Raw genomic sequence first — 11,412 nt, forward strand, 5'->3', positions numbered from 1 at the left:
AAACTTCAGACCAATATCACTGATGAACATAGATGCAAAAATCCTAAACAAAATACTAGCAAACCAAATCCAGCAGTATATCAAAAAGCTAATCCACCACATTGTTTCCTGTTGGGAGCTCCCTGCAATACCCACCCCCCCTCCCCCCTGCCCCGCAAAAAAATGAATTCACCACAATCAAGTAGGCTTTATCCCTGGGAAGCAAGATTGATTCAACATATGCAAATCAATACATGTGATTCATCACATAAACCAAACTTTAAAAAAAGATCATCTTAATAGATGCAGAAGAGGCTTTTGATAAAATTTAACATCTTTTCATGTTAAAAACCCTCAACAAACCAGACATCAAAGGTACATACCACAAAATAGTAACAGTCAACTCTGACAATCCCACAGCCAACATCATAATGAATTGACAAAAGCTGGAAGCGTTCCTCTTGAGAAGCGGAACAAGACAAGGATGCCCACTCTTGCCACTCCTACTCAATATAGTATTGAAGTCCTAGCCAGAGCAATCATGCATGAGAAAGAAATAAAAGTCATCTAAATAGGAAGAGAGGAAGTCAAACTATGTTTGACAGACAATATTCACAGACAATATAAGCCTAGAAAACCCTGTAGTCTCTGCCCAAAGCTTCTAGATCTGATAAACCACTTCAGCAAAGGTTCAAGATACAAAATCAATGTACAAAAATCAGCATTTCTAGCAGCATTTCAATCGTATGAAATGCATAGAAATATGTCCAAGCTGAGAGTCAAATCAAGAATGCAATCCCACTCACAATAGCCACAATAAGAATAAAATACCTAGGAATACAGCTAAACAGGGAGGTGAAAGAGCTTTACAATGAGAATTATAAAACACTGTATCAGAGACAACACAAACAAACAGAAAAACATTCTATGCTCATGGATAGGAAGGGTCAATATTGTTAAAATAGTCATACTGCCCAAAACAATTTACGGATTCAATGTTATTCCTATATACAAACTACCAACATTTTTCACAGAATCAGAAAAAGCCATTTGAAAATGCATTTGGAAGCAAAAAGGGCCTGGATAGCCAAAACAATTCTAAGCAAAAAGACCAAAGCTGGAGGCATTATACTTCCAGACTTCAAACTATACTACAAGCCTACAGTAACCAAAACAGCATGGTACTGGTACAAAATGAGAATCATTAACAAATGAAACAGAATAGAGAACCCAGAAATAAAGCTACACACCTACAACTGTCTGATCTTCAATGAAGCTGACAAAAACAATCAATGGGAAAAGGACTTCCTATTCAATAAATGCTACTGGCATAACTGGCTAACCATATGCAGAAGAATGAAACTGGACCCCCACTTTTTACCACATACAAAAATCAATACAAGATGGATTAAAGACTTAAATGTAAAATCTAAAGCTATAAAGACCCTAGAAGAAAATCTAGAAAATACCATTCTGGACATTGGCCCAGGCAAAGACTTCATGATAAAAACTCTACAAGCAATTGCAACCAAAACAAAAATTGACAAGTGGGACCTAATTAAACTAAAGAGCTTCTACACTGGAAAAGAAACTATCAACAGAGTAAAAGACAACCTACAGAATGGGAACAAATATTTGCAAACTATGCATCCAACAAAGATCTAATATCCAGAATCTATAAAGAACTTAAATCAACAAGCAAAAAACAAAAAAAAATTTTAATGGGTAAAGGACATGAACAGACCCTTCTCAAAAGAAGACATAATGTGGCCAAAAAGCATATGATAAAAATGCTCAGTATCACTAATCATTAGGGAAATGCAATTCAAAACCACAATGAGATATTATCTCACACCAGTCAGAATGGCTGGTGAGGGAGAAAAGGGAATGCTTGTGCAGAGCTGGTGGTGTAAATTATTTCAGCCACTGTGAAAAGCAGTCTGGAGATTTCTCAGAGAACTTAAAATAGAACTACCATTTGACCCAGCAATTCCATTACTAAGTATATATCCAAGAGAATAGAAATTGTTCTACCATAAAGACATATGCCTGCGTATGTTCATCACAGCACTGTTCACAATAGCAAAGACATGGAATCAACCTAGGGTGCCCATCAATGGTGGACTCGATAAAGAACATGTGGTATGTATACACCATGAAATACTACCTATTTTTAAAAATGAGATCATGGCCTTTGCAGCAACATGGATGGAGCTGGAGGCCATTATCCTAAGCAAATTAAGCAGGAACAGAAAACCAAATACCACACATTCTCACATAAGTGTGAGCTAACCATTGAGTACACACGGGCACAAAGAAGGGAACACTAGACACTGGGACCTATTTTAGGGTGGAAGTTGGTATGAGAGTCGGATTGAAAAACTACCTATCATGGATTATGCTTATTACCTGGATGGCAAAATTATCTGTACACCAAACTCCCACAACACACAATTTATCCATCTAACAAACCTGCACATGTACTCCTTGAACCTAAAAGTTGGCAAGGCAAAAAAAAAGAAGAAAAATACTTTATTGCTCAAAATGTTAACATCATCTGAACCTTCAGCAAGTCAAAATCTTCTTGTTAGTGGAAGGCCTTGCCTCAGTGTTGATGGCTGCTGACTCATCAGGGTGGTGGCTGCTGAAAGTTAGGGTAGCTGCAGAAATTTCTTAAAATAAGACAATGAAGTTTGCCACATTGATTGATTGCCCTTCACAAACAATTGTGCAGTAGCATGCAATGTTGTTTGATAGCATTTTGCCCACAGTAGAACTTCTTTCAAAATTAGAGTCAATCCTCTCAAATCCTCTCATAAGGATTTGATAAAGTTGATAAAGTTGATAAAGTTGATAGCTTTATCAACTAAGTTTATGTGACATTCTAAATCATTTGTTGTCATTTCAACAATTCATTTTCTTCCTCAGCATGCTTACTAGGAGAAGTTTCCATCTCAATAAACCACATTCTTTGCTCATCCATTCAGGTTTTATCATGAGATTCCAGGAATTCAATCACATCTTTGGGCTCAACTTTAGTTCTCTTGTTATTTCCACCACAGCTGAGGTTACTTACTCCACTGAGGTCTTACACCCTTAAAAGTGATTCATGAGAGTTGGAATCAATTTCTCCAAAACTTCTTTTAGTGTTGATATTTTGACCTCCTCCTGCCAATCATGAATGTTCATCTAGAATGGTGAATTATTTCCAGAAGGTTTTCAACTTACTTTGCCAAGATCCATCAGCGAAATCACTATCTATGGCATCTATGGCCTTATAAAATGTATTTTTTAAACAATAAGACTTGAAAGTCAAAATTGTCCCTTGCTCTAGGAGCTGAAGAATGGATGTTGTGTTAGCGAGCATGAAAACAACACTAATCTTGTACATCTCCATCAGAGCTCATGAATGACCAGGCACATTGTCAACGTGCAGTAATATTTTGAAAGGCAACTTCTTTTCTGAGCAGTAGGTCTCGAACACGGATTTAATATAAATCATCATGTAAATAGATGTGCTATCATCCAGGCTTGGTTGTTTCATTTATAGAGTGCAGGCAGAATATATTTTGTACAATTCTGAAGGGCCTGCGGATTTTCAGAATGGTAGATGAGCATTGGCTTCAACTTAAGGTCACCAGCTGCACCAGCCCCTAACAAAAGAGCTGTCCTGTGCTCTCTAGCTATGAAGTCCTAGATGGCATCTTCTTCCAACAGAAGGCTGCTTCCTCCACATTGAACATCTGTTGTTTAGCGTAGACACCTTCATCGCTTATCTTAACTAGATCTTCTGGGTAACTTGCTGCAGTTTCTACATCATTGCTTGCTGCTTCACCTTGCTCTTTTATTTTATGGGGATGGCTTCTTTCTTAACCTCATGAACCAACCACTGCTAACTTTTCTTCTGCAGCTTCCTCACCTCTCAGCCTCAATAGAATTGAAGAGGGTTATAGTCTTTCTCTGGATTAGGCTTTATCTTAAGAGAATATTGTGGATGGTTTGACGTTCTATTCAGACCACTAAAACTTTCTTCATATCAGCAAAAGGCTGTTTTTCCTCTTATCATTCATGTGTTCACTGGAGTCGCCCTTTTGATTTCATTCAAGAACTTTTTCTTTGCATTCCCAACTTGGCTAACTGATGCAAGTGACCTAGTTTTCAGCCTGTCTCAGCTTTCGACATGCCTTCCTCACTAAGCTTTATCATTCCTAGCTTTTGATTTAAAGTGAGAGATGTGTGACTCTTCCTTTCATTTGAACACTTGGAGACCATTGCGGGGTTATTAATTGGTCTAATTTCAATATTGTTGTGTCTCAGAGAATACGAAGGCCCAAGAAGAGGGAGAGGGATAGGGAAAGAGCTGGTCAGTGAAGCAGTCAGAACACACATATTTATCAATTAAGCTCATCATCTTATAAGGGCACAGTGCCCCCAAACAATTACAATCAAGGATCACTGATCATAGGTCATAATAACAGATACAATAATCATGAAAATGTTTGAAATATTATGAAAATTACCAAAATGTGACACAGAGCCACTAAATGATCACATGCTTTTCAAATAATGACACTGAAGGCTGGGCGCCGTGGCTCATGCCTGTGATCCCAGCGCTTTGGGAGGCCGAGGCGGGCGGATCATGAGGTCAGGAGATCGAGACCATCCTGGCTAACACGGTTAAACCCCATCTCTACTAAAAATACAAAAATTTAGCCGGGTGTGGTAGCGAGCACCTGTAGTCCCAGCTACTCAGGAGGCTGAGGCAAGAGAATGGCATGAACCCGGGAGGCGGAGCTTGCAGTGAGACGAGATTGTGCCACTGCACTCCAGCCTGGGCGACAGAGCAAGACTCCGTCTAAAAAAAATAAAAAATAAAAAAAAATAGCACTGATAAACTTGTTCAAGTCAGGGTTGCCACAAATCTTCAATTTGCACCTGCAATATCTAAGAGGCACAATAAAATGAGGTATGCCTGTAATAATAGAGTATATCTCATTGCCTAATATTATAATTAAGTGAGCTAAATGATGTGGTTTTTTAACATCGTCTCAAGTAGATTTATTGTCAGTAATTAATGGTAATAGTACACAAAGTGGAGAACAAAGGAACCGTGCAATTAAAACTTTAATTTTTAGTAAATTTTAAAATTTACTAAACTTTTGAGTAATTTTGTGTTGTACCAACTTTTTTTGCCAGTGTGTTCAATCCAATTCCTTCTTTAAATTTTATTTTTAATTGACAAATAATAATGGTATATATTTATGAGGTACAAGGTGATGTTTTGACATGTTTACATTGTGAATTATTAAATCAAGCTAATTAACAAATCTATCACCTGACATAGTTATCTTTTGTAATGTGGTAAAAATATTTAAAATCTACTCTTTTAGTAATTTTAAAATACATAATGTGTTACTATTTATCATAATCACCATTCTGTGAAATAGACCCCTAAAGTTTATTTCTTCTGTCTAATCAAAACTTTGTATCCTTTCATCAACAGATTCCCTTTCCTGGTTCACCCCCTCCTCCAGCTTCTGGTAACTACCATTCCACTCTCTACTTCTGTGAGTTGGACTTTAATTTTAGAGTCCACATATAAGTGAGGTTATGCATTATTTGCCTTTCTGTGCCAGGCTTATTTCACTTATCATAATGTTCTCCAGGTTCATCCATGTTGTGACAAATAACAGAATTTCCTTTTTTAAGGCTAAATAGTAGTCCACTGTTTATATATACCACATTTTAATCCATTTATCTGATGATGAATACCTAGGTTGATTCCATATCTTGGCTATTGTGAATAATGCTACAGTGAACATTGGAGTGCAGATATGTTTTGACATGCTGACTTCAATGTCTTTGGACATATACTCAGAAGTGGGATTGCTGGAACATATGATAATTCTAGTTTTCATTTTCTGAGGACCCTCCATGCTGTTTTCCAAAATGGCTGAACCAATCTACATTCCCACCAACAGTGTGCAAGGATTCCCTTTTCTCCACATACTTGCCAACATTTATCTTTCATACTGTTGATAATAGCCAATCTACCAGGCGTGAAGTAATATTTCATTGTGGTTTTTATTCGCATTTCTCTGATGATTAAAAATGTTGATCTGAGCTTTGTCAGCAACAAGTAAAAATAAATAAATAAGAAATGTTGAGCATTTTTTCATATATCTGTTGGACATTTGTATGTCTTCTTTTGAGAAATGTCTACTCAGGTCCTCTGCCCATTTTTTAAATAGGGTTGTTTTCTTGTTTTGAGTAGTTTGAGTTTCTTACATATTTTGGATATTGGCTCCTTATCTGATTTATCATCCAAATAGTTTCTCCCAATATGTGGGTTATGTCTTCACTGTGTTGTTTCCTTTGCTGGGCAGAAGGCTTTTAGTTTAATACAATATTATTCCCCTATTTTTGCTTTTGTTGCTTGTGCTTTGGGAGATCATATCCAATAAATCACTGCCAAGACCAATGTCATGAAGCTTTCCCACTATGTTTTCTTCTAGTAGTTTTTACGGTTTCATGTCTTACATTTAAGTCTATGATTCATTTTGAGTTCATTCTAGTATAAGAGGTAAGATAAGGGTCCACTTTCATTCTTCTGCATATAGATATAGTTTTGCCCACACCAATTATTGAAGGTACTGTCCTTTCCCCATTGTGTGTTCTTTGGGCCCTTGTTGAAAATCAATTGACCATAAACGTATGGGCTTATTTCTGAAATCTCTAACCTATTCCATCAGTTGCTGTGTCTGTTTTTATGCCAATAGCATGCTGTTTTTATTACTATACCTTTGTAATACATTTTGAAATCCAGCAGTGTGATACCTCTATCTTTTTCTTTTTGGTAAATTTGTCTTTGGCTATTCTGGGTTTCCAGTGGTTCCATGTGAAGCTTCAGATTATTTCTTTCTGTTTCTGTGAAGAATGACATTAGAATGTTAATATGGATTGCATTGAATCTGTACATCACTTTGGATAGTATGGACATTTTGCCAATTTTGATTCTTCCAGTCCGTGAACATAGGATAGCTGTCTGTAAGTTCTTCTAGTAAAAACACACTTTACTGACAAACTGGATTTCTCTGGTTGTTTTTTTGGTTTCTTGGCTCCTTCAGCATTTGGGGGACACTTTGCACATATGGCCCTCACATGAAACAGTCCTTTTAGCATTTTTTATAAGACAAGCTTAGTGTTGGTGAATTCTCTCAGCTTTTGCTTGTTTGGGAAAGTCTCTAATCTCTCCTTCATGTTTGAAGGGTAGATTTTTGAGGGTTAGCAGGTTTTTCCTTCAGCACTTTGAATATAACATCTCACTGTCATCTGGTCATCAGGGTTTCTATGAAAGCCATATTGAGGCTTCATCTAATGTAATATGTTTCTTTTTTCTTGCTACTTTGAGTATTCTTTCTGTCTTTGATTTTTGATAATTTTATTATTATATGCCTTGTGGATTTCCTGTTTGGGTTGAATTTCATTGGTGACTTCTGAGCTTCCTGCACCTGGATGCTGTCATCTTTCTCCAGATTTGGGAAATTTTCAGCCATTATTTCTTTAAATATGCTTTGTGGGCCCTTTCTCTCTTGTCTTCTCTAGGAATTCTAATTATGCAGAGGTTAATTTGCCTGATGATGTCCCATAGTTCTTGTAGACCTTCTTCATTCTTTTTTTTCTCTTTTTGTTCCTCTGATTGGTGATTTCAAATGTTCTGTCTTCAAGCTTGCTAATTCCTCTGTTTGCTCAAGTCTGCTGTTGAAGCTTTATAATGAGTTTTTCAGTTCAATTATTTTATTCTTTATTACTAGTATTTCTATTTCTATTGCTTGGTTTTTTTTTTCATTGTTTCTATAAATCTTCAATTCTTCTGGGACCATTCCTGGAGCTTTGTTGATTTCTTTTGATGGTATTGAATATTTCTGAGTTTTCACAAGCCTTGTATCTTTACATGGATGCCTGCATATTTGAGGCGACTGCCAACTCTTCCAGCTTTTGCAGGTGCTCTTTCATGGTGTTAGACCTTTACTTCTTAGTATTAGAACTTAAACACTGGCCTGTTGTTGCTTTACACTGTAGAGAGGGCTTAATAGTGAGCATCAGAACTAAAACATTGCACTGGACCTAACTCATTGCCCTGTCATTGTTTCCCAGTGTAAGGAAAACTTATAGTGAGCACCACAGCTTAAATGCCCTGGAACAATATTGCTGCCCTACTATTGTTTCTCAGTGTGGGAAAAACTTAGGTGGGTACTGAAAATCTTGACCTTTTAGTTGTTTCTGGGCCAGGGAAAAGCTTCACATGTGCACCTGGGCTTTGTGGATTTGGGCCTTCCCATAAATTTTGTCCCCTACAATACTCTGGCCCCCCCACCAGTCTCTTCAATATGGCATCCCCACTGATCAAAGCACTGAACAATCACCAAGATCCACATGCCAGTTGCTGCAATCAGTGACCTACTCTTTGTCCCCAATTCACCCCAGGTTTTTCAGCCCTCTTGGTTCTCTAGTGGGATGAAACTGGAGTGGACTTACCATTAAGATTCCTAGACAAGTGGGAAGATCAAATATCCACCTCCAATTCCTTCTTCTCATCTCAGCAACTGTGGGTCTAGGGAAGTTCTCTGTGAGTGGTATTATTATGGCCTGGGAGAGAGGGTGGAACAGGCTGAAATGACCATTTCTCTTACCTGTCACTGCTTCTCTCAATTCTATGAGCCCAGGGGGTTTCTCTGCTTCTCAAGTTCTGGTGTATTCAGGGTGGCATTCTTGTCTTTGAATAGTTTTTCATTTTATTTTTGTGTCAGGAAGTGATCCCAGGAGATCTATTCTGCCATCTTGCTGACATCACTTCCCAGTTTAGTCCTGAGGTATCAGGGATGGATTAAGAAGCACATGGCTTTCCCCATCCTGGGAAAATTCTCCAGGACAGGGCAAACCAGCTCTTGCACCAGAGACATATCCACAGAGTAGCCTTTCTTGTATTGTCACTCTCTGCAGCTCATATCCTTGTGCTGGGCTGTGAGGCAGGCACTAAGGACACTCTTTAGGTAACAGTGGAACGCAGAACAAAGAGAAGTCAAGCTAGCCTCAGAGAAGAGAAAATTTGTCTTAAGTTTTTGATATCACAATCTGCATCTTTTTATAATTTGTATCCCTTGACAAATTATTGTAGGTTTCATTGTTTTTAATAGCTTTGCCTTTTAATGTTATTAAAGATATAATTTATTTACCCACTGACATTACAGTATCAGAGTATTTTGGATTTCACAATGTATTTACTTTTATCAGTGAATGTTATACTTTCATATGTTTTCCAGTCACTAATTAGTGTCCTCTTCTTCAGCTTGAAGAACTCTCTTTAGCACTTCTTGTAAGGCAAGTCTAGTAGTAATAAACTCTCTCAGCTTCTGTTTGTCTGAGAAAGTCTTTATCACCCCTTCATTTTTGAAAGAAAAGATTTCTGGGTATAGTATTCTTGGTTGACAGGGTTGTTTTATTCAGGATTTTTAATATAACATCCCACCCCCTTCTGGCCTACAAAGTTTCTGCTGAGAAATCTGCTGATAATCTAAGGGAGGGTTCTCTTGTGTGTAGCAATTCACTATTTCCTCACTGTTTTTAAAACTTTCTCTGTCTTTTTGCATGTATGGCAGGGGGAGGGTGGTGAGTATTCTGGTTTCTTCCATCCTATGGTGAAGGTGAATGCCAGTATTTATCTCTCCCTCTCTCTGCACTAAGCTGGAGAGATAATCTGTGACAAATGCCTATACTTGTGTCCAAACTGCACCCTCTGATCCTGGTGAGATAGCTGCTTGATATGGTTAGAATCTGTGTCCCCATCCAAATCTCATGTCAAGTTGTAATCCCCAATGTTGGCGGTGGACCTGGTGAGAGGTGATTGGATCACGGGGGTAAATCCTTCATGAATGGTTTAACATCATCTCTTTGGTGCTGTTCTCATGATAGTGAGTGAGATGTGGTTGTTTAAAAGTATATAGTACATCCCTCACCCCGCTCCTCCTCCAGCCATGTGAAGATGCCTGCTCTGGCTTTGTCTTCTGCCATGAGTAAAAGCTCCTGAGGCCTCCTCAGAAGCAGATAGTGCCATGCTTCCTGTATAGCCCATAGAACCATGAGCCAATTAAACCTCTTTTCTTTATAAATTATGCAATCTTGAGTATTTATTTATAGCAATGAGAGAATGGACTAATACATGCTGAAAGTGGGCCCGTTGTATGCCCATGTCTTTGTTTTCTGTAGTCCCAGGCCGCTTAGGAATGCAAAGTCTCATTGGGAATGCAAAGCCCCATTAGTCCCCAGAGCTAGGTTGATAAGGAGACAGTCCCTTGGGTGGAAACTATAGAAGCTTAGGTACTCAGTACACGGACAAACTCCTTCCAGGAAGAATGGGTCGACTGGATTTATCACTGGGATGAGCCAAAGGAAAGGCTCAGAAAGTGCTCAGCTCAAGCTCAGGATGACAGGGAGCTACTTTCTCCCCTTAGGTCCTCAATGCAAATTCATTAAAAGCAAGGTCATCAAGTAGCCACCAATAGAGTAAGCAGGAAACCCCTTGCAAAGAGAAAATGGGAGCTCAGCATTCTAGTCCCTTTTCTACACTGCTCCCAGGAGATGTAGACCCTGGCAGTGTTATTATGTCCATTTAAAACCACCTTTTTGGCTGGGTGCAATGGCTCAGCCTGTAATCCCAGTACTTTGGGAGGCTGAAGTGGGTGGGTCACTTGAGGTCAGGAGTTCAAGACCAGCCTGGCCAACATGGTGAAACGCTGTCTCCACTAAAAATACAGAACATTAGCCAGATGTGGTGGTGCATGCCTGTAGTCCCAGCTACTTGGGAGGCTGAGACAGGAGAACCGCTTGAACCCGGGAGGTGGAGGTTGCAGTGAGCCAAGATTATGCCATTGCACTCCAGTCTGGGTGGCAGAGTGAGACTCTGTTTAAAAAACAAACAAACAAACAAAAAAACCTTTTTGTATGTGATCTGGGAAGACTTGAGTATGCATAGTTTCAGGTGGTAGCTGCTGTAAAAGTTGGGCCACTCAATGCATGGCATAAACCCCTTACAGGGAGTAACAGGGAGCTGCATTTTTAAGCCCCTTTTCTGTACCACTCCAAGAGTTTGAAACCCCCAGAAATACGTGTGCACCTGTATAAACCTACCACTCTTGTCTGTTGTCTAGAGAGATTCTCATATGCATAGTCCTCTCTGCTCCTAAAGCTGGGAGTTTTAGAGTGCAGTCCTTCCAGTAGAAGCTGCAAAAGTTGAGGCATTCTACATGTGGACAAACTCTCTCCAGGAAGGAGTAATAGACCTGGAGTTATCACTGGAGTGAGCCAGGGGAAAAGGCTTAGGAAGTGTTGATCTGCTTCTGAGGCTACCAGCAGGCTACTATTTGCCTCTTTAAC

Source organism: Homo sapiens, chromosome 20, assembly GCF_000001405.40.
Source record: "Homo sapiens chromosome 20, GRCh38.p14 Primary Assembly".
In the NCBI taxonomy this organism is placed as follows: domain Eukaryota; kingdom Metazoa; phylum Chordata; class Mammalia; order Primates; family Hominidae; genus Homo; species Homo sapiens.